This window comes from Homo sapiens, chromosome 13, assembly GCF_000001405.40.
Source record: "Homo sapiens chromosome 13, GRCh38.p14 Primary Assembly".
NCBI classification, from domain to species: Eukaryota; Metazoa; Chordata; class Mammalia; order Primates; family Hominidae; genus Homo; species Homo sapiens.
Genome location: NC_000013.11, coordinates 77005247 through 77029354, shown reverse-complemented (window position 1 = coordinate 77029354; position 24108 = coordinate 77005247). Strand labels below are relative to the sequence as shown.

The 24108-nt window shown below is 38.7% G+C and overlaps 1 protein-coding gene across 2 annotated transcripts, besides 4 other annotated features; it reads left to right on the top strand.

Annotated features, from left to right (window-relative positions):
- Positions 2076 to 2125: a silencer, noted in NCBI's record as "silent region_5417". NCBI's record gives its function as "represses an Ori minimal core promoter by ATAC-STARR-seq in GM12878 lymphoblastoid cells {active_cell/tissue: GM12878}" and the evidence as "EXISTENCE:reporter gene assay evidence [ECO:0000049][PMID:35858748]".
- FBXL3 (F-box and leucine rich repeat protein 3) lies at positions 2196 to 24095 on the top strand. Of its 2 annotated transcripts, none has more exons than XM_005266336.2 (5): positions 2196 to 2343; positions 7494 to 7842; positions 10633 to 10755; positions 13775 to 13946; positions 21567 to 24095. In XM_005266336.2, the coding sequence occupies exons 2-5, from the start codon at positions 7495 to 7497 to the stop codon at positions 22208 to 22210; spliced, it is 1287 nt and encodes a 428-aa protein (XP_005266393.1). In that variant the 5' UTR covers positions 2196 to 2343; position 7494; the 3' UTR covers positions 22211 to 24095. The 2 variants fall into 2 exon arrangements, with proteins under 2 accessions (XP_005266393.1, NP_036290.1); NM_012158.4 differs by having other exon boundaries at positions 2196 to 2528.
- Positions 2296 to 2575: a silencer, noted in NCBI's record as "silent region_5416". NCBI's record gives its function as "represses an Ori minimal core promoter by ATAC-STARR-seq in GM12878 lymphoblastoid cells {active_cell/tissue: GM12878}" and the evidence as "EXISTENCE:reporter gene assay evidence [ECO:0000049][PMID:35858748]".
- Positions 2596 to 2655: a silencer, noted in NCBI's record as "silent region_5415". NCBI's record gives its function as "represses an Ori minimal core promoter by ATAC-STARR-seq in GM12878 lymphoblastoid cells {active_cell/tissue: GM12878}" and the evidence as "EXISTENCE:reporter gene assay evidence [ECO:0000049][PMID:35858748]".
- Positions 19921 to 19990: an enhancer, noted in NCBI's record as "active region_7838". NCBI's record gives its function as "activates an Ori minimal core promoter by ATAC-STARR-seq in GM12878 lymphoblastoid cells {active_cell/tissue: GM12878}" and the evidence as "EXISTENCE:reporter gene assay evidence [ECO:0000049][PMID:35858748]".
- Positions 24096 to 24108: the final 13 nt, after the last annotated feature.

The following is a 24108-nucleotide window of genomic DNA, read 5'->3' as shown; positions in this document are numbered from 1 at the left end:
CCTAAAAACTGTAAAGGTCATCAAAAACGAGGAATTACAAGATGGTATTTAAGGAACTACTGCAACATAATCTAATCTATCCTGATCATTGGTGTACCAAGGCTGGGGTGGTGTGGGAATAGTCTACACCATTCTACGTGGTGGAGGGGGTACATTGTCTGTGGATAATTTAAAACAATAATAAAGAGACTAATTGTTCATCTGCTTTTTATTACCACATGCATTGGCAATTCCAAACAGGGTCAGTAATAAATTATTTTTCCCAGTTGGATCAATGTGCTCCACACTCATCCTTTCTCCCACCTACCATGCCACTGATCTTGATGATACAATTGATAAATGTAAATAAGTACTGACTGATTAAAAAATAAACGTTTTTTTTCAAAAAAAATGAGGTGAAATAAAATATTTGCCAATAACAGGGAAGAAAAGGGGTATTCAATAGGTCAAGTGTGCCAAGGTCCTTGTCTTGTTTAGGAGGAGAATAGATCATAATGGCGAAAAAAGAAAAAAAAGAACTATGATTGGAATGTGATATAACCGTAATGTGATACAATATTAACGTAATGCAACCTATGCTCATCATGTTTACTGAATTGGTTTAATGTATTTTGCTGATCATTTATACTGTTCACCCAACTTTAAATAAATGGGCCTGTATTTGACTTATTTGTTTTTCCTTAATAATTATCATTGTCCTTCTTAGAACTTCCTATTGTTCCTCATCATCCAGTCACTGAGGGACCTAAACAAATGTTGCAGCTCAGGCAAATCCACACTCTTATGCTACTAGAGGCTTTGTACAGTTTGATTCAGTGATCTGACAGCTGACAGGCCCTTAAAAAACACCGAACAAACAACACTGGCATTTCCCCACATTGAATTCATTTTATTATAGAAACAGTCTCACTCTCTCACCCAGACTGAAGTGCAGTGGTGACATCATAGGTCACTGTAACCTCCTACTCCTGGGCTCCAGCCATCCTCTCGATTCAGCCTCCTGAGTAGTAGCCGGGATTACACCAAGCTCGTCTGATTTTTTAAAATTATTACTCTTCTATTTTTTTGTAGAGACAAGAGTCTGGACATATTGCGCAGGCTGGTCTCCAATTCTTGACCACAAGCAACCCTTCTGCCTTGGCTTCCCAAAATGTTGGGATTACAGACATAAGCCTGTACCACTCCTGGCCTCACACTGAACTTCGACGTAACTTTATACATGGCTTCCTAGCTCAATTTCTTGAGAAAACGGGAAGAACGGAGAGCTCCCTGGGCACCACTGCTTTTCAGTGTCTTATACATGGGTCTGAGTGTTCTAAGACATCTTTGAATGGAAAACTACTTTCTCTCTTTTTTTTTGGAGGTGTAGAGAGGAATGGCGCATGATTCAACTTAATGATATTGCACCTAAGAATGTTTCTAACTGTAAGAAAACGCAGTATCAAAAAATCCAAACTTTAAAACAAGTCAACTAGGTAGCAGTTACAAAGATGCCTTGATTTACAAAAGGATTCACCAGAGGTTTTCTTTTCAGCAGCTTTGTAATCCTTTACTTTCCCCATTGCGTTTCAAAAGCTATTTACAAATTTCAGGACTCTATTTCATAAAGCAAATGTCGTTTTTAAAATGTAATAACTCTAATGATAAAAGCCACTTTAGAAATATTGGGAAATACAAATATTTGAAAAACAAAAACCATGTGCAATCCCAGCGTTAATACTCTCACTATTCTGGTACATTTCCTTGGCATCTTTTAAGCACCACTTATGCACATCGATGCGCGGGTCTTCGGAGACTGTATTTAACTCCTCGGTTTCAGGCATCCGGGGCGGCCACCCGCGGGCCGCGGTCCCCAGCAGGCTCCGGCGAGACTCCTTCCTTTCTTTTTTCTGCTCCACCTCCCTAAACCTTCCAGTTTCAGCCACAGATAGTCTCTTCCACATATAGCTAGCTTCAGCCCTCCCACATTCCATCTCAAAACAACAAAAAAAATCCCCTTCAAGCGGGAGTCACATCTCTGGCAGGAAGGCAGAGGCTCGTCCCACAGCAAGGAGACTGGGGCGGCCGCAGCGCGCGCTCCCGCTTGGGCGCGGCCCTACTCCCGCCGGGCTCCGCCCCCCCCCCGCCCCCTTCCCGCCCCCTTGGGCGGGGACGCGCCAGGGAAGCGCGCGGCCGCGAGCCCTGGGCGCCATTTTAGACTCGCTGTTTGTGGCCCAGGTGCAGGAAGCTTACGCGGTGGCAGCCGCTCGCTGAGGTAGTCTCTCGCGGCGCCGGGGATCCCTGAACACAGACAGCGCGGGACTGAGAAGGAAAGCTTCTTTCTGGGCAGCCAGAGCCGCAAAGGTGGAGCCGCGTTGGCGCCCTCCGCGGGACCAGCGCCTCGGATGCGGGCGGAGCGCGGGGGGCCGCGGCTGCGGGAGCGCGAAGCGGGGGGCCAGGGGCGCCTCATGTGAGAGCCGCGGGACCTGCAGCCGCCGCCGTCCCCGGAGCACGGGGTGGTGTGTGGGGGAAGCCGCCCCCGGCAGCAGGTAACGGCGGAGGGGCAGGGCCGAGCCCCGCTGCGACGGCGGAGCCGGGGAGGGACCGCGGACCGTCTGTGGGCGGGCCGGGGTGGGGTGGGGTGGGGGGGGGCGCGGGGGCCGGGGCGCGCGCGGGCCGCTCCTCAGGAGTGCCGGGCGGGGCGCGGGGCGCGGCACCCAGACCTTGGAGCTTGCTTGGGGGCGTTTCCCCGCCGTGCCTGCTTCCAAACATGTCAACAAGGCGTGGTGCGTGTGCGGCGGCCGCCTGCAGCCTGCCCGCGACGCCGCCGCTCCCGGGTTCGCCGCGGCTCCTGCCAGGCTTTATGACCCTTGGCGGGGGCTGGTGACAGGCACCATGGAGCTCGCACTCTGTGGGCTCTCCCGGCGTCGGCTACGCCCGTGCTGGTAGCTTGAGCAATGAGGCACTGAAATGTCAAAGCAAACTGCCCAGGGTGGGGCGCATGAGAAATGTCAGGGGAAGCCAGTCGGTGGGGAGGTGGCGCAGGGAGGAGGGGACGCCCCTGCCGCTTAGCCAGGCGAAAAACTTGGTCAACTTGTGTTGAGCGGATTCGCGTCTGCCTTTGGCGTGGGCAGTCCTTTAGGTGGGGTTGCAGACAGGGGTCAGGAAGCAGCCCAGTAAATGGTCTGTATCTCCAAGCTGAGAGGTGAGAGAGATCATTTTTATTTTGTCGTTGCTAATGATATCCAGTTGAGTGACCCAGATTTTTTAATTAGAATCCTCCTTTTCTAACTTGAAAAAAAAGTAACTTAGTTTCTGTTATCTCTGAAATATTTATAAAAATACCATCAACTATCAGTTATCTATCTATCTATATGACCTGTAGACAGATTTTCGCCACTGTGCGCTCTCTAAGCATTTAGTTGTGAGTTAACCTCTTTATAGTGTTTTATTCTTGTAGTTCAGCCAAAGAATGCATATTAGTTTGATATTAGTAAAAGCAGAACAGAAAGGAACTGTGATGCCAAAATAGGCTTTTTAGAGTTAACTACAAATGAGCATTTAAAATTATTGCATGCCCAGTGTAAAAGTGCCTAATACAACGATGCACACGGCTAGCTGTTCACTTCCGGTCTTCACCTAATGAAGTTGCTTCTTTCAAAGTTTTTTTTTTTTTTTTTTTTTTTTTGAGACAAGGACTCACTTTGTCACCCAGGCTGGAGTGCAGTGGCGCGATCTCGGCTCTAGCGATCCTCCCACCCCAGGCTCCCTAGTAGCTGAGACTACAGGCATGGGCCACCATGCCCAGCTAATTTTTGTAGAGACAGGTTTCATCGTGTTGCCCAGGCTGGTCTCAAACTACTGAGCTCAAGCGATCCGCCCGCCTTGTCCTCCCAAAGTGCTGGGATTACAGGCGTGGCCCACCGCGCCCACCTGGAAAGTTTATGGAACATAGAGTTAGTTCACTAACTCCTTGTGCTGCTCAGCTAGTCTGTGGTCTTTCCTCAGTAGTTTGCTATTTAGCAGTTTGTAGTCATATCAGTCCCTCACCAAAAGCTGTGGTGGCCTAAGTTGCATTATTTGGGGCCTAGAAGCTTTGCAGGAAATTAAACTGCCAGAGCCCTGAAGAGGCCTAGTTTTGGTGCTCTAGATTTCTAGAGTCTAGAATGTCTCATTGACGTTTTATAGTACAGCTTGGTTCTCCACACTTCTTTTCAAATATAGGAGGTGTTTTCACTTTGACAAAAGTAGGAATTATAGGGTCCATTGATGTAAATTATTTGCAGGCTGGAAGATGCTCTGAGATGTTTAATTTTATGTATAGCAGAGTTTCATGTGTAAATAGATTTAATAAGATACTATTAAAGTAGTGTAAATTTTTTCATACATAAATGAAATCAACTTGGAAAAATTGACATTTAAAATTTTAAGTGTCCACTCACTTCTGTTATTTTCATGCACAAATGAGGATAGTGCAGAGGATATTTTTATTGGAATTTGGCCTTACATTTTTTTCAATTGCTTAATGCACTATAATTGTAACATAGACATATTACGTATGACAATTAACAGACTTAATTCAGCTATTTGTAAACTGGTAAGTTCTTAAAATAGGCTTTGGTGATCATATAGTGTTTTTATATCTAGATCAAGAGATACTGTCCCTTAGTGTTGCATACTGTTAAAAAAAATTTTGTCAACTTCTTTAACCTGAACTTGGAAAGGTATTTAAGTACATTTTATTTAAAACAGTACTATAATAGACAAAAGAAAGTTTCTATTTTTAGGACCAGCAAAGTATTTATTAGCAAAGACTATTATGTGAATAAGGCTACCATTTTATTTTTGTTTATATATCCATATACTCTAAAGTAAAATGAATCATTCCGTCTTTAAGTTGTCTAGTTCTGGTTTTAGAAGATTGTTCTCCAGAAACAGGCAATCAGTATTCTATAATAAGGTGTAGAAATTGCAAAGACTGTCATTCTTTTTTGAATCTCTGTATCTCAAAATTGTGAGTAGTTTTAGGTGGTCAGAAGAGAAATTATAAGCTCTGGATAGCAAACACTTTGTTCTTTGACCCAAATTTTATATACTAAAATTAAAGTAAGCCTTCAGGGTAAGTTAAAGCAGAAAAATGGGTCATAATAACAGTGTTATCTCAGCCTCTAGTGAGGGATTATTATTAGAAGAGACTTAATATTAAAGATTACAGTGTAGACTATACACTTTTCTCTAAACTTATTAAAAAAAAACTAATCTCAAGTCACACATAATTTCCAGTCTTCCATCAGACTACCTTCTTGCTGTCACCTCTGTCATTCTATTTTCTCTCTTGTTCTCTCCCTGATCAGTAGGGTATACGTAATATATTTTATTCACATAGTTGGGAATAGGAGCAGTGAAGAATAGGCAGTTTATTGCACATATGCTAAGACGTCTTTGACTGACTTTCATGGCATTAAGGTCAGAGGCCTCTGCCATTCTCTTTTTACTCTCCAGCCCTCAATCCTCTTTCACAAGTTTTGCGAGGTACTGGGTGGAGAAAGTCTGCAGAAACATTTGTTTTACAGTAATGCATATGCATATCCTTCATCTCACACAGGAATGAGAAATTCTTTTATGCTGATAGGCCAGAGGAGTGTTGGAGCAACAAGCCATCTTTCTGAAAGATTGTGACCCCAAGTTTAGGTCGAAACCACTACCCTGCCAGAACTGTTCTCTAGAAACAAAAGTATTACAGGCTCTGAACTAAGTAACTACCAGTGAGTGGTCTGCAGCCATTTAGTTTAGAGCCTGCTATACTTTTCCAAAAAGTCCGATTACACGGTAATGCATTGATAGTAAAAGAAAATGTGTAAAACATAAAAAGGGAAGAGATGTTTGCAAGAAAAAAAAATTACCTGTAATCTGCCGTCTACTGTTGGTTACTATAATAATTCAGTGAGTCTACTTCCAGGGTGTGTTTTCTCGTACACAAGCTCACTTGCCCTGTCTCTCTGACACACACACACACACACACACACACACTCTCTCTCTCTCCATTTTAAAGCAAAAATAGAGTCGGGTGTGGTGGTGCATGCAGATACTCTGGAGGCTGAGGTGGAAGGATTGCTTGATCTCAGGAGGTCGAGGCTGCAGTGAGCCATGATCGTGCCACTGCACTCCAGCCTGGGTGACAGAGCGAGACCCCATCTTGAATGAATGAGTGAACGGAATGAATGAATGAGTGAACGGAATGAATGAATGAATCATTCTCTGCCTTCTGGGTAGTAACCCTGGTTTTTAGCATGTTGTGTACTTTAATGTCGTTAATGCTGGACTGCTTTCCTACACAACAGTCATATCTCAACAGTTCAACAGTCGTATCTCCCCTTTGAAAAGCCTTAATAGTATTGCATTTCTCACAGAAACCCTGTTTTATTAAACTAATTTTGGAAATTTAAGCACAGGAATATCAAGTAATTTGCTCAAAGCCACATAGCCAGTGAGAGGTAGAGCCAGAATTCAAACCCAAGGAGCTTGGTTCCAGAGCCCATTCTCTTTAGCCATAATACTGTTTTGCCATGAAAAAACTATCTTTCAAAGAAACTAATGGAATGAAAGTGCTAAGAATACATAGAATAAACAAATAGGTATAATTCAGAAACACAACTTGGGGAAAACAGTGCAATATTAAGTGATGTGTTTGAAGAAGCAGCTACATTCCAGACCAAACAATTCATAGTAGGGGTGGTTTTGCTTATTTTAGGCGGAGTTAAGAAATGTCTGGCAGTAACACATAGCATAGCCCAGTGCCTGTCCGTGGCAGGGGGTGATTTCAGGAAGAAACTGTTCCACCTCAGATCATCAGGCATTAAGAGTCTCATAAGGAGCGCACAACCTAGATCCCTCATGTGGACATTTCACAATAAGATTCTCACTCCTATGAGAATCTAATGTAGCTGCTGATCTGACAGGAGGAGGAGTTCAGACTGTAAAGCTTGCTCACTTCCTGCTATGGGGCCCAGTTCTGGTCCTCAGGCCAGAACCACAGGACCCCTGTATAGACTATTAAATGTGGAACATCCTCTCTGGAGGTTCTTGGGACCCTGGTTGGCCTGGAATTCAAGAACAAATATCCTTAGATGACTTTTAAGAAACCTTTACAAAGTATCGCTGTAGGTTCCCTTTTATATTCATTTTAGTTAAGTTGACCACAACTTTTGAAATATAAATTCTTAGCATAGTTTCAAAATCATAATACTCTCTCCCATGTAGTATATACTGTATATTATACTGATAAATGTAGATGTTTAAAAACATGCCAAAAAAGTGTAAAATTTATAAAACCATTGTTGGCCTTCATTGGCATTTTTCATAATAGTTTGTTTTGGTATTCTTGAATTACTGATCCAGTTTTTCCTGCATGTTTGTGTATATAAACACACATCTCAGTGACAGAAGAATGAATTTTGAGTTTATTTCTATTCAAAAGTTGAGTAGGAAAAAAACTGATGCATTTTTCGGAATAGGATGAAACGAGGAGGAAGAGATAGTGACCGTAATTCATCAGAAGAAGGAACTGCAGAGAAATCCAAGAAACTGAGGACTACAAATGAGCATTCTCAGACTTGTGATTGGGGTAATCTCCTTCAGGACATTATTCTCCAAGTATTTAAATATTTGCCTCTTCTTGACCGGGCTCATGCTTCACAAGTTTGCCGCAACTGGAACCAGGTATTTCACATGCCTGACTTGTGGAGATGTTTTGAATTTGAACTGAATCAGCCAGCTACATCTTATTTGAAAGCTACCCATCCAGAGCTGATCAAACAGATTATTAAAAGACATTCAAACCATCTACAATATGTCAGCTTCAAGGTAATATTTTAAATCCTTCTTTTAAAAAATAAAGTATTTTTAGTGGCTTTGTTTCCTAAACCAGTACATCTTCTCATGCCTTTAAAATATTTGCTTTTTCAGGGAAAATGCTTAAAAATTTAGAATTATTGTATACCTTAGAAGCTGTCACAAAATATTATATTTGATGGAGCTAAATTACTCTATTAATTATTAATAATTTCTTAAAACAGCAAAAGCAGCCACTAAATAAGCATAAGTCATTGATAAAGCTGTGAATTACATTGAATTATTGTGAACGATTTTGAGGAAGAAGAAATATCTAATAAAATAAAAATTGGGAGATTATAATTGAGTAGAGCTTAATTGCTATTTCTATCTAACAGGAACTTAGTGTTACTTACTGATGGCTTTTTGAAATGGGATCTTCAGATGAAAAGGAAGCATAGAAACTTTATGTAGAAGATTTAGATGAATATATTTTAGAGAGAAATAGAAAAAGGTACATGGGAGAATGCCAAAGGGAACTGTTTATTTCTTTTTGTTGCTGGAAGGAAGGTATTGGAAATCATGCAGTGATGAGATAAATGAAGTGGGTGGCTTTTTGCGATATCCAGAATAATTTAAGAAATCATAGCTGGATGTGGGTACCTGTAGTCCCATAGTCCCAGCTTCTCAGGAGGCTGAGGCGGGAAGATTGCATGAGCCCAGGAGTTTGAGGTTGTGGTGAGCTATGATTGTGCAGCTGTACTACAGCCTTGGTGACAGAGCGAGACCCTGTCTCTATTTAAAAAAATAAAAAATCACAGTGGTTTGTGTGAGGCTTGTCATGTTTTGTTTGGGTGATGAATAATGAAATATGGACATGTTTACTGGATCTTTAAACACCAGATTTTGTGGTAGCAAATAACTTATTGAAAAAAAAAAACAATGCATGAATACTTGATTTATCTGGACACAAGCAGTTGCTGAATAGTCCAGGCTAAACCTAGGCAGAACAGTAGTTCTTAACCCAGAGCTTCTGGCCATAACTAAAATCTTGTCTTCCCTCGAAGAATGTAATTTCCTCTTAGGTGGAGATTACCTGCTTATTCTCCCATGTCTGTCCAAGGAGGAGGAGAGAATTGGTGGTGGGAATGGTTGGATATGTTTTTGCCTTTTTTTTCCCAGAAAACTGCACAAAGGCGCTTAGGCCACTGATTGCCAGGTTTTACAAATAAAAATGTAAGATGAGTATTTAAATTTGAATTTCGGATAATCAATGAATAATTTTTAGTATAGTTACATCCCTTTTAATGTTTAGGACATCTTTAATGCTAAAAAATATCTGTTGTTTACCTGAAACTTAATTGGTGTCTAGTATATTATCTTGCGATCCTAACTGGGGGCAAAGGTAGGGGGATCAAACAAAAATTCAGGACTCATCCCCATACCCCCAGGGAAGAAGGCTAAAGAGGTTTCTGTTTGGTTTTAGTTATCTTTGAATTGTGTAAGAGTGTTCTAATGGTAAATTGTATACAAAGATGAGTATAATACAAATACATTCCTCTGATAGGTCTTAAAGTCCAGTTCCACCTAGTAGATTTGCTGGGTCATTTTTATAGCCCTGTGATACAATTCAGGTGTATCTAGTATAACCCTCATAAAATCATTTGTGCAAAAGTTGAACATTTTTAGTAGGGTTTTTTTTTTAATTTTCCTGAGGAAATAATTTCTGATTTACAAAAAAGAGTCACATCACAGGATTCTTCTGGGCTCTCCTGATAGTCTTCACTGATTATAGACCAAGGAGGCTTATAGTTAGAATTTTTAGTCTAGAAGAGTGGTTCTCTAACTTTATGTGCATCAAAATCACCTGAAGGGCTTGTAAAGCCAAAAATTGCTGGTCCCACCCCCACAGTTTCTGATTCAGATGGTCTGGGTTGGGTATGAACATTTGTTCCCATTTAAGTTCCCAGGTGATGTTGATGCTGCTAGTCTCAGGGACCACATATTATCTATAAGTAGCTCTGAAACTAATATAATTAGCACATTAGTTTTACAATCCACTCTTAACATTTTTGGGATAAAGTAGTGTATATGAATCTGGAAATTAATAATATCCTTTTAACTGTTTTAAGGTGCTTCCCAGGAAACAACTAACTTTTTGATGGATGAACTCCTTTTTACATCCTTGAGGGATTTTTTGGCCCTTTATCCTTCCCTTAGGAAATGTCTTTGCAGAAGTATGTGTGAGAATAGCTACATCTTATTTAGTTTAGATTTTCATGCCTGACTGGTCCAGTACACTCATTTTACTTCACATCTTTCCATTAATAACATTAATGATGAATCCCAGGTTGTGATACACGTGAACATTTTGAGTAAATACTTAGTTTTTATTGCATACCATAGACACTGTATTTACATCTATTATGTGATCCACTACCAAATACATAATTATTTTTTAAAGACTATAAATTGATTTACTCCATTAGTTTATACAGTCACTTTGGAATAAATCAGTGTAAAAGCCAACATTAAATATGTCTCTTATCATAATGAAAGCTAGGTCTTGTCTTGACAATTGCCCTTATACTTTTTCAGAGAGACTTAGAAAAGGCCAAGTTGGAGGTGAGGGTGGAGGGTGGATGATTGAAAGAATATTCTTTAAGTTATAATGCAATAAACTAGTAATGATACTTCTATAAAATGAATATGTGTACAGAGAAATATAAATATATACATGAGTAATCTTGAAGTCTGGGTATTTGGGGAAAAAAGTAAAAAAATAATAAAATATTCATGAGTAAACGGTGTTTCTTTTCTAAGGTGGACAGCAGCAAGGAATCAGCTGAAGCAGCTTGTGATATACTATCGCAACTTGTGAATTGCTCTTTAAAAACACTTGGACTTATTTCAACTGCTCGACCAAGCTTTATGGATTTACCAAAGGTATCTGCTGTTTTTGTTTTATTATCTATTACTGAGAAATTCAGTGAAAGTCTAATCTTTTTTTTTTGTATTGACAGTGTGAGTATAAGGAAAGTTATATATATACATAATGGAAAACCAGTTACTATTTAGGATGAAAATAAATAGTATTTTTTTAAGCTTTTTTTTTTTTTTTTTTAAATCACCATACTTCTAAATTGGTATGGTTAAAGAAATTTACAGAGGCGTCTATAGGAAGTATTAAAAGAAATTCAGTAAGTAAAATAGAGTCAAGCATATTAGAAAAAAAGGGACACATAGATACTCATTTTGGGGCTTCCAGAGCAGGTTGGTGAAGTTAGAATCAAAGAAAAGTAGAGTGCCAATATTGAGAGCAGGTATAGCTTCTAAAATCTTTTGGCAAATGTTCTGGAAAGATTTAATCATGACCAAAGTTAGTCTCAGCACAGTTTAGATTAATTTACAGACTTAAAGACATCCTTTCTTTGGGTGAAAAGTTAACATATATTCTTATATATATTCTAACATGATCCTGCATATAATCAGAGATCGTGTCTCTCTCTCACAACTATTCTCTTAAAATACAAAAATAAGAAGGGTGCATTTTTAGAAAGGCAACTGGTAAAGGTGTCTGAATATGTTAGCTAATGGTTAATAGGTTAGTATCCAACAATAATTTGATATTTTTTTCCCAGAAGACACTGAAAACTAAAATATAGACACCCTTTTAAGTATCTAGTAGTTTAATGTACTAGGATGATTGAGGAGGGAATATAACTAAATTGAATATATTAACCCAAGTGGTCGTTTCAGTGGAATGTCTGTACCAAATAAATCACCAGTTGATGTCAAAGTCTTAATTGATTTTGAAACATTTTCATTACATATGTATATTTTGAGATAAAATGTTTTTCTTCACATATAAAATAAGGGAAATGGGCAGGAGAATCTGATTATCTTAATATTTTAAGATCCTAAGTACAGAAAGATCATTGTGGTACTCCGACTTAATGTGTAAAAATCTTCTGAATAGCCTCCTAAATTTTGGATTTCTATCCCTTTTTCAAATTCGGGGTGATTCTAAGTCTTCTCTTCCTGTGAGCAGTCCAGGTGATTCTGATTAAGATGGTTAAAGGAACTCACGCTAAGAAATACTAGTTACATGGTATAGCGCCACCTTCAAGCTTCAAATAGGAAATGAAACAATCTGAATTGATTTTTAGTGTACCTACCATAGCTAAAATACAAATATACATACTGACTCATATGGTATGTATGTATACCATATTAAAGGATATGTTGAACATAATTTAATTTTCTTTTTTTTCTTATCACTATGCATATATCTAGTACTAATTTGGGAACCATGAATGGAGCTAATGGAAAGAATGCTTCTTCCCTTATTAAGTGAGGCTAGGATACTTAATAACTGTTTTTCTTTTTTTCTTTTCCTTTTATGGCTTTGGTAGAAGATTGAAGTAGGGCGTTGCAATATTTTGGAAATCCCAAGAGAACTGAAGAGAACATAGAAGAAATGTTTTTGTCCAGAGCTAAATTGGGGAAATGGGGAAAGACGTCAGTGATGCACTCATTAGACTGCAAATGAAATATGTTTGTACAAGATATAATTGAGTTTGATATGAAAATATTAGGAGAAAAATATTAACATTTAAGTAGTTAAATAGTTTATCAAAATCTAGTTAACCAGTTGTTTAATCACAGTAGGGAAAAAGTAAATTAGGGAATTGTGATCAAGAAGGTAGTGTTTTGGTTGGGTGTGGTAGCTCACAGCTATAATTGGAGTACTTTGGGAAGCCGAGGCAGGAGGTTCTGTTGTGGCCAGGAGTTCAAGATCAGCCTGGGCAGCATAGCAAGACCCATCTCTACAAAAAAAAAAAGTTAGCTGGGTATGGTGGCTCACACCTATAGTCTTAGCTACTAGGGAGGATGAAACAGGATTGCTTAAGTTCAGGAGTTCAAGGTTGTAGTGAGCTAAGGAGTGCCAGTGCACTCCAGCCTGGGTGACAAGAACAGTACTCTGTCTCAAAAAAAAAAAAAAGTAATGTTTCATTATACTTTCTTGGCTCTTAGCCTGCCCTTATCCTTTTTCACTCCTGTAGAGAATTTATAAAGCTTAACTGGAGCATGAAGTTGGTTTTGTAGAGAGGAATGTGTTAGACCATGTATTAGCCTTTCTTTACTCTCCTAGATTCTTTGCCCAGTGGTTTCAACTCATATCTTAGCTCCGATTGAGAGCTGCATACTTTGAGAATGCTTTAATTCCTGTTTGCCTACATTGATTCCTTTAGATCAAATCCTGTCCAACAGATATATAACGTGTGTGTGTGTATGTGTGTATATACACATATGTACATACATACAAATATATACATATATGATGAATGATACTCATTGGTGCTTTTGTGGATCAAAATACATTAAAATAGAAGACTTGAAAATATTGTAGATAACATTTGAAGGAGTTTTAAACTTGGAATTTTAAGTATTATTTTGATTGTTTTATAATCAAATTTTCTATGAGTTTTCATATCTCAAATGAGTCTGTCATAGATTTTGAATAAATTATTAATTTTTAATGATGGTGTTAATAGTTACTATTTAGTGGTCATAACTATCAAACAGAAAAGAAATGCAGTTTAGTGTTATAGAACACTAGGGTTTCCAGATATGGCAAAATGAAGTGTCTGAGAGAGATTCTCATCCTGGGTTCCAGAATTCCTCTTTTTACTTACCAGTGGTTTCTCTGATTTAGAGACACTTATCCTGAGGCTTGAAATGCTTTTTTCCCCCACACATAAATAGACTCTTCTCAAAGATGACAGATAGTCACCTATTTTTACCATATTCCCAACAACAGAGTGAAGGGATGCCACCCCTAAAACATTTACAAAATATTAATATGTCATTATGGTTCAGATAAACTGTAGTACTAGGAAACCCCTTGATTCTCATTTCTAAAAATTGAAATAATTTTTATTTTATTTTTTTTGCTTTTCAGTCTCACTTTATCTCTGCACTGACAGTTGTGTTCGTAAACTCCAAATCCCTGTCTTCGCTTAAGATAGATGATACTCCAGTAGATGATCCATCTCTCAAAGTACTAGTGGCCAACAATAGTGATACACTCAAGCTGTTGAAAATGAGCAGCTGTCCTCATGTCTCTCCAGCAGGTATGTTGTGTTTTTTGCTAGACACATTTTAGTAAAATGCATTGCTATGTTCAAATTAGAAAAAACTATGATCATTAACCTTGAAGGTGGATTAATATGACTGCTTCATCTCTTTAAAATATTTTTAATGTAGTAATAGAATAGCATAAGTTCTGTAGGGTTACTAGCCTAGACACTGACTTTCAGCTTATTTTCTAATCTTATTTGATAAATTTATGAATAGCACATGCTAGAAAATGAACAGGAAAAAAAAGAGGAAAGGACAGTATGAGGTCAGCCTGAGGTGCTCCATTAATTACAGTAGAGTTTTTTCTCATTGTAGTTGAGCTAATAGGGTAGATTTTGAGTCAGAGCAGTCACATAATTGCTTTTCTTCTCACTATGTAGAGGGAGAAGAGTTGTACTAAGTTGTACAACTAAGTTGTACTAAGTGGTAGCCTTAGATTTTGCAAGATGATGTTTTTCCTAAGTTGAATTTTGGAGCCAAGAACCCATCAAATGCAAGAAGAGCATTATAATAGCTCTTTCCAGTTTCTCTTATATAGGATTTTCTGAGCATTACTACATTATTCAGTTTGAGATTACTTAAATTCCAGGTGGTTTGTATTGAAAAGAGAGTATAAACCCTACTACTGTATTATACTACTGTCTGCTGTTTAATTTCTGACTCCTCCCACTATTGACATGTTTGCTGATCCTTTAGCTGTGTTATTTGGGAAACCTGTTCTTTAAGGTATAGTGACAAATCTTTGATCTTTACAAAAACACTTCCAACCTTCTTGCCATTGCCAAAGGTCAGCCTTCTCCTAAGAAATGATTCCATTTTAGATGGAGATTGCTTGCTCATTCTCCCAAGTCTCCTTGCTCATTCTCTTTTCTCCCACAGGAGACTCCTGGTGATGAGAATGGCTAGGTCTATTGTATTTTCTTAGCCCTCTCTGCCACTTACAGATTACCACTGCCTGTTATAAAACAGAAGTTAAGAATAGGCTTTGGCAGTTAGTTCTTATATGACCTTGATTACATTTTTATATTTACTGTATAGCTCTGCTTTCAGAGTAAAGTCTGTGCTTCCTGGCTTCATAGTGTACAAGGTCCTTTTGTATCTTGACCTCCACCTGTCTCTTGCTGGTCACTCACGTGGAGCTTTTACTTGGGTCCTATGGAACTACAGATTTTTGTTTGTTACCTTTGTTTGTGGTTGCTCAGTACACTTTACCCTGTGGAATACTTGCTCAAATGTTTTAACTTCCCCTTGCTAACTCCAGCCAGCCCAGGCTTCAGAATTCAGCTCAGATGTGATCTTTGTTGACCTGCCTGTCAACGTAGGAGAAGGGAACTTCTCCTTTCTGGTTGAGATTTCCTACCTGTGTATTTCCAGAACACTGTGAACTTTATTGCTAGCATTTAACACATTGTATGAGTCTTTATGTCTCTGATTTCTCTATAAAACTGTGAGTTCATAGTTCTCTTTATTCTGGTATATTCTGTGTTCATTCATTTTTATTAAATATACACAACAGTTCTGATAGTATAGTATAAGCTTACTTGATCCCACTTAATTGTGGGATCCGCCCAATGGGTTCACCTTGTCCGTTGCCCAGACAGAACCGATTTATCAAGATGGGAATTGCAATGAAGAAAGAGTAATTCACGCAGAGCCGGCTGTGTGGGAGACTAGAGTTTTGTTATTACTCAAATCAGTCTTCCCGAGCATTTGGAGATCAGAATTTTTAAAGATAATTTGGCAGGTAGGGGCTTGGGAAGTGCTGATTGGTCAGTTTGGAGATGGAATTATAAGGGGTCAGAGTTAGGTTTTCTTAATGTCTTCTGTTCCTAGGTGCCATGGCAGAACCAGTTGGCCCAGATTACCAGTCTGGATGGTGTCAGCTGATCCATCTAGTGCAGGGTTTGCAAAATATCTCAAGCACTGTTCTTAGGTTTTACAATAATCATGTTATTGCCAGGAGCAATTTGGGGAGGTTCAGACTCTTGGAGCCAGAGGCTTCATGACCCCCACATTGTAATTTCTAATCTTGTAGCTAGTTTGGAAGTCCTGCAAAGGCAGACTGGACCCCGGCAAGAAGGAGGGGTCTTTTTGTGAAACGGCGGTTACCAGTTTTGTTTCAGAGTCAAACCGTGAACCGAATTCCTTCCCAAAGTTAATTCGGCCTATGCCCAGGAATGAACCAGGGCAGCTTAAGGGTTAGAAGCAAGATAGGGTCGGTTAGGTCTGATTTCTTTCACGGTCATAATTTTGCAAAGTTGGTTTCATAATGACTTTTGGACTAGTTCTTCAGGAAGGGAAGGGAAGAGAAAGAATACTTTTTAATACAGCTGGGCACGTTGGCTCACGTCTGTTAATCCCAGCACTTTGGGAGGCCGAGGCAGGCAGATCACGAGGTCAAGAGATCCAGACCATCCTGGCCAACATGGTGAAAGCCCGTCTCTACTAAAAATACAAAAATTAGCTGGGCATGGTGGTGCACGCCTGTAGTCCCAGCTACTTGGGAGGCTGAGGCAGGAAAATCGTTTGAATCCGGGAGGCGGAGGTTGCAGTGAGCCGAGGTCGCACCACTGTGCTCCAGCCTGGCAACAGAGCGAGACTCTGTCTCAAAAAAAAGAAAGAACACTTGTAATACTTTCTATTTGAAGAGCATAACCACATAAGATTTCAGTTGAAATTTCATATTTTCATATTTTCTATCTATCTTTTGCATATTTGGACAGTTTCTCTAAGTTGAAATTAGGGACTGTATTCTACTTTCCTCACTGAACATTTAATCAATTTTCTTTCATTTCCTATAGTTGTTATAATTGTCTGTAACTGGACCTCTAGGTTAGTTTGCCTGTTGCTTCCTTAATATTAATTATCAGGTTGAACTAATGAACATTTAGTTACTTAGTTCCCTATAAAGCCAACATTGCATTATAGTTCTAAAGTTGGACACTTGTTTTTACCTTTTTTGCTGTGATTAAAAAAAAAATTGGCTTATAGCAGTTTGCTTGTATTAATTTCTTCCTTAGGGTACATTCTTAAGAAGTGGAAGTCCTAGGACAAAGGTCTTTGTGCTTTTTGCCATATTTTTTTTTTCCAAATGAGTTGTATGAATTTATAGTACCACCACTAATCACCAATTTTTTAACAGCTTTATTGGCATATAATTCACAATTCTCATTTAAAATGTACAATTTATTGATTTTTAGTGTATTGGTAGAGTAGTGCATGCATCACCACAATTTTAGAATGCTTTTATTATTCTAAAAAGAAACCACATACCTCTTAGCTGTTGCCCCCAAAACCTCCATCCCAGCCATCCCTCAACAACCACTAATCTATTTTCTGTCTCTGTAGATTTGCCTGTTCTGGACATTTCATATAAATGGAAATCTACCTTTTGACTTATGAATAATGCTGCTGTGCACATTTATGTACAAATTTTGTGCGGACATATGGTTTAATTTCTCTTAGGTACATACCTAGTGATCATACTCCCCATTTGAGGTAATGCCAGGCTGTTTTCCAAAGCTGCTGTGTACCACTTTACATAGCCACTAGCAGTGTCTTCTAACACTTATTTGTCTTTTTGATTATAGCCATGCTAGGGGGTGTAAACTCATTGTGGTTTTGATTTACATTTTCTTGTTGACTAATGATGTTGAGTATCTTTTTTTTTTTTTTTTTTGAGACAGGGTCTCACTCTGTCGCCCAGGCTGGAGTGGAGTGGCGTGATCCTGGCTTACTGCAGTCTGGACCTCCTGGGCTTAAACGATCTTCTCACCTCAGCCTCCCAAGTAGCTGGGACCACAGGCATACGCCATTATGCCCGGCTAATACTTTGTAATTTTTGTAGAGATGGGGTTTTGCCTGGTTGCCTAGGCTAGTCTCGAACTCATGGGCTCAAGTGTTCCTCCCACCTCAGCTTCCCAAAGTGCTGGGATTATAGGCGAGAGCCACCGTGCCTGACCTTGACTGTCTTTTCATGGTGCTTCTTGGCCATTTGTATATCTTCTTTGGAGAAATGTCTATTCAGATCCTTTGCCTATTTTTTTTTTTTTTTTTTGGAGACAAAGTCTCCTTCTTGTTGCCCAGGCTGGAGAGTGCAGTGGCATTGATCTCGGCTCACTGCAACCTCCGCCTCCCGGGTTCAGGTGATTCTCCTGCCTCAGCCTCCTGAGTAGCTGGGATTACAGGTGCCCGCCACCACATCCGGCTAATTTTTGTATTTTTAGTAGAGATGGGGTTTCACCGTGTTGGCCAGGCTGGTCGCGAACTTCTGACCTCAGGCAATCCGTCCGCTTTGGCCTCCCAAAGTGCTGGGATTACAGGTGTAAGCCACTGCACCCAGCCCCTTTGCCTATTTTCTAATTTGGGTTATTTGTCTTAATTTATTGAGTCGTAATAGTGCCCTAGTTTTATTTTACTTTTGTCACTGTGTTATGTTTTTAAATACTTGGAACTATGTTCTTACTGGTACATAACTGACAGCTATACACAAAGCAGCTTAAACCAACACCCATTTATTTGCTCCACTGTTCTGTACATTAGAGCTGTAGTTAGGGCTCAAGTGGCTTCTCTGCTTAAAATCTTAAAAGGCTGAGAGGAAAATGTCAGGAAGGCTGGGCTCTTACCTGGAGGCTCTGCAGAAGAATCCACCTCCACGCTCATTCAAGTTATTGGCTGAATTTAGTTCCTTGTGATTGTTGGACTGACATCCAGTTTCCTTATTGGCTGTCAGCAGGAGGCTGTTAGGGGGTCTTTCTGCTCTTAGAGGCTGGTTGTGATTTTTCTTTTTTGGCCCCCTCTAGCTTAGAGCCAGCAATAACACATTGAGTCCCCTTTGCATTTTGAATCTCTCTGACTTCCTCTTCTGCAATCAGCCAGAGGAAACTGCTTTAAAAGGGGCTCATATGATTAGACTAGGACCATCCAGATAATCTTTTATATGCTCAGCTGTACCATATATCATAATCATGGGCATGATATCTTATGGAATTCACAGATGCTAGGCATTAGGGTGTGGGATCTTGGAGGCCATTTTGAGAATTACGCCTGCCACAACTGCTTTTGTAGTTATTAAATGATACTCCACAGTTTCTTTCATTTGAATGGTTAGCTACCATTTCCCATGTCTGTGTGTTTTTTTTTAATTATTATTATACTTTAAGTTCTGGAGTACATGTGCAGAACATGCAGGTTTGTTACATAGATATACACGTGCCACGGTGGTTTGCTGCACCCATCAACCTGTCATCTACATTAGGTATTTCTCCTAATGCTATTCCTCCCCTAGCCCCCCAACTCCCGACAGGCACCAGCGTGTGAGGTTCCCCTCCCGGTGTCCATGTGTTCTCATTGTTCAACTCTCGCTTATGAGTGAGAACATGCGGTGTCTGGTTTTCTGTTCTTGTGTTAGTTTGCTGAGAATGATGGTTTCCAGCTTCATCCATGTCCCTGCAAAGGACATGAACTCATCCCTTTTTATGGCTGCATAGTATTCCATGGTGCATATGTGCCATGTTTTCTTTCTTTAGTCTATCATTGATGGGCATTTGGGTTGGTTCCAAGTCTTTGCTATTGTGAACAGTGCCACAGTAAACATACATGGGCATGTGTCTTTATAGTAGAATGATTTATAATCCTTTGGGTATATACCCAGTAATGGTATTGCTGGGTCAAATGGTATTTCTAGTTCTAGATCCTTAAGGAATTGCCACACTGTCTTCCACAATGGTTGAACTAATTTACACTGCCGCTAACTGTAATAGCGTTCCTATTTCTCCATATCCTCTCCAGCATCTGTTGTTTGCTGACTTTTTAATGATTGCCATTCTAACTGGCGTGAGATGGTATCGGAACGGAGATGTGCTTAGGTTACCTTGAGTAATTAGAGTATATTTCAAAGTATATAAAATAGCCGGGCGTGGTGGCGTGTGCCTGTAACCCCAGCTACTTGGTAGGCCGAGGCAGGAGAATTGCTTAAACCAGGGAGGCGGAGGTTGCAGTGAGCCAAGATCACACCCCTGTACTCCATCCTGGGTGGCAGAGCGAGACTCCATCTCAAAACAAAAATAAAGTATATACCTACTTTGCGGAAAACAGAAACTTTGTGGTTGCTGAATACTGAGACATTACTCTCTTTTCTGGTGACTCATTCTGGTAATTCAGTTTATCTCTTCTGATAATTCTAATGCCTATCTTTTCCCACTGTTATAAAGCTATGGCTTATTGGTGGCCTCTGTCTTGTCATTTCTGAAGCAGTAGTTAAGTGCATGGACATAAGAGTCACTTAGCCTGTGTTTGTATTGCAGCTTTGCTATTTTTAGCTAGCTGTCTCCACTTCAAAGTAGAAATAATACTTTTCCAGATTTTTAAAATTATTTGTGGGATAACATCTAGTACCTGGCACATCATACTTGTAACAATAAATAGATGAAAATACGGTGTATGTTTTCTTGTTCCTATCCCTGTTTCTAAACATAAGGAAGAAATGGATTGAATGGGTAACTTACCAGGTAATATAAGGTGCCTCTTTGGGGTAGAATTCTTATAGTAGGCCGGGTGCAGTGGCTCACATCTGTAATCCCAGCACTTTGGGAGGCCAAGATGGGTGGATCACTTGAGGTCCGGAGTTCGATACTATCCTGGCCAACATGGTGAAACCCTGTCTCCAGCAAAAATACAAAAATTAGCCAGGCGTGGTGGCATACGCCTGTGGTCCCAGCTACTCAGGAGGCTGAGGCAAGAGAATTGCTTGAACCCGGGAGGCAGAGGCTGCAGTGAGCTGAGATCACACCACTGCACTCCAGCCTGGGCTACAGGGTGAGACTGACTGAAAACAAAAACAGAACTCTTACAGAGAGATCAAACATTGACCTTTGCAATGTCATCTGTTGCTAGGATGATAGTTTTGGTAAGTTATAAAGCATGGCACCCTAAGTATAGGGAATCATCTAAGGGAACTGCTTTCTAGGTATGTTAGAGCTTCGAAAGTCATAATGAATATTTCCATTAATGTGAATTGAGTAGTTATTTTTGACATACTTAGTGATATCTTGGTATTTTTTCTTATAAGTTTAATAAGCTGCTTATATGCTATTAGCAATTAGACTTGATCATTTGATAGAATCTTTAGTTTGTAAATGTTTTCTTTCATTACCTAATTCATAGTTTTATATGGTTCTATCTTACTCTGTTTTTATTAGGATTAGGTTTTGAACTTCAAAAAATGTCCTTTGGCCTCCGTCACAGTGGTCCTGTAATTACCTAACCTATAAGTTTAGTGTTAGTAATAACTTTTTAAAAATATGGCACTGTCTGTGCATTACTGGAATGCCCTAACCTTAGTGATGGTGTATTTTTTAAATGACAGAGTTAACTGAGTTTTATTTCTTTTTAATAGATGGGATTTAGAATTGGTTTCATTTTCTTGTAGACAAAATTAGTAATAGATTTTAAATGTTTGTTACTTCCCTTCTAATTCAACTATGCACATTTTAAATTATATAGTTTTGTGGTAAGGGAACTGTGACAAACTTTTGTGGGACATGTACTTGATTGAATTTTTCAACAGATAAACTTTTACAAAAACTTGCAAATAATTTTTTTTTTCTTTCAAGGTATCCTTTGTGTGGCTGATCAGTGTCACGGCTTAAGAGAACTAGCCCTGAACTACCACTTATTGAGTGATGAGTTGTTACTTGCATTGTCTTCTGAAAAACATGTTCGATTAGAACATTTGCGCATTGATGTAGTCAGTGAGAATCCTGGACAGACACACTTCCATACTATTCAGAAGAGTAGCTGGGATGCTTTCATCAGACATTCACCCAAAGTGAACTTAGTGATGTATTTTTTTTTATATGAAGAAGAATTTGACCCCTTCTTTCGCTATGAAATACCTGCCACCCATCTGTACTTTGGGAGATCAGTAAGCAAAGATGTGCTTGGCCGTGTGGGAATGACATGCCCTAGACTGGTTGAACTAGTAGTGTGTGCAAATGGATTACGGCCACTTGATGAAGAGTTAATTCGCATTGCAGAACGTTGCAAAAATTTGTCAGCTATTGGACTAGGGGAATGTGAAGTCTCATGTAGTGCCTTTGTTGAGTTTGTGAAGATGTGTGGTGGCCGCCTATCTCAATTATCCATTATGGAAGAAGTACTAATTCCTGACCAAAAGTATAGTTTGGAGCAGATTCACTGGGAAGTGTCCAAGCATCTTGGTAGGGTGTGGTTTCCCGACATGATGCCCACTTGGTAAAAACTGCATGATGAATAGCACCTTAATTTCAAGCAAATGTATTATAATTAAAGTTTTATTTGCTGTAGTTCTGATATAATTCTACTATTTTGTGGCACAGAAATTTGATATCTTCAGTCAGTATATGTAAAGATTGTTTATCGGAAGACCCATGAATGAGTTTTGGTCAGAAAATTCCACTTGTTTCCTTAGTGTAATAGCAGTCATATCTCCGAATTTTTTTTAATGTGGTTCGGATGTGAAATAACCAGTTATACGTATTAAACAGTTTACAGTCTAAAGGAAACAAAACCTATATGTTATAATATCCAAGAAGTACTAATAGGTTTTCTGAAATGTTATATTCTCTATGCATTTAAAAAAAAATGTAAACTTGACATTTTAGGGTCTTCAGTTACACATACACCTGTTATAAGGTGTTTAATATAGCTCAGGAAAGTGAGCATTTTGTGAGAAAAATGAATATATCATATCTAATGGAAAAGATTGGATGAATGTTCTCAAATGTTACAAAGCTGTTTAAAGAAAAAGGTATATATAAGTAATCAGAACACTTAGAAGACTGATAGATGTCACACAGTGGTATTATAGAAGGATAATACAGAGCCAAGATCAAATTAAAAGACAATAAATGGAACAGAAGGGAGGCAGTGTTTAGCTTTGTATAAACTTTTAGGTTTGCTCTGTAATCTGCTAAACCATATACATTCTTTTGTGATATGTTATTATGTATGTGGCACTTGAGGCACTGTATGTAAAGTAAGGAATGCTTTACTAGTTCTCCTTGGTTTTATCTTTGTTTAAACTAGCTTTAAAGTATTAAACAATAATTGAAATGAAAAGCTTACCTATTTTAAAAAGCCAAATTTAAATAAATATAGAACTTTAAAATGTTTATCAGTTGTTTCCATGAAAGAATATTAGTTTCCAGTAAATTTTAGTGATGGCTCACTCACTTTTCTATTTTGGAATTACATAGTTATGTAAGTAAAATTTTTAAAAATCATAAAGGGAGCACCATTGTACAGTCTAGCATAAACAGCAAATTTTAAAGAGGACATATTTAAGTTCATAATCATATTTTTCAGTAAATATTGCTCAGTGAACTGGAAAACTTTAATAGAAAAATGTCTGCAGTTTTGTGATTGTTAATTTGGTTAAACCGATATTTTATATTATTTAAGTTAGGTAACATTTTATATTACTTTCATATGAATAAAAGTAATCCATGCATTGTAGAGTCTATAAAATGTTGAGTTTTAAAAGATGATATAAACTTTGATGCTGGGCACTAGTGCTAGTAGATATTACTACCCTCCTGAGGGAAATCAGAAATGATTTAACCCCGGTGGAATACATTAATTCTTAAAGCGGCTCTTTTCAGTGGTGTGACTTTTAGATTGTGTCTCAGTGGTTGAGGAAGCTAACAGTCTTAGATCTACTTTTAAAACGGATGGCCTTCTTAAGAATAAAGCAAAAGGTGATTTTCTACATAATTTTTGCTTTCCAAAAGTGATGATATGCTCTCCTACAGCAACATATGAGAAGAAAAAAGGCTTATCTAGATTCGAAAATTAACAGCAATTATAGTAATATATCCCCTCCTTCTAAATAGTAAAAAGCTCTGATTGTACAAGAATTACCTGTGCTAGTCAAGTTGTTGTTTTTCCTTGAACAACTTTGGAAAAATGGATTTGACAGTACATAATCAGTTCTACTAACCAAAGCTTGTATTTGGAAATTTACTTTTTGTACAAATTGAATTATATAATGCTTAAAATACTTTGTCACTTTATAAGCAAAATGCATAGTACTTAATTTGTTTATACTGTAAAGTATATGTTAAATGCTTTTATCACTTTGAGAATAAAAAGTTACTAATGCTGTTGTATTTTACT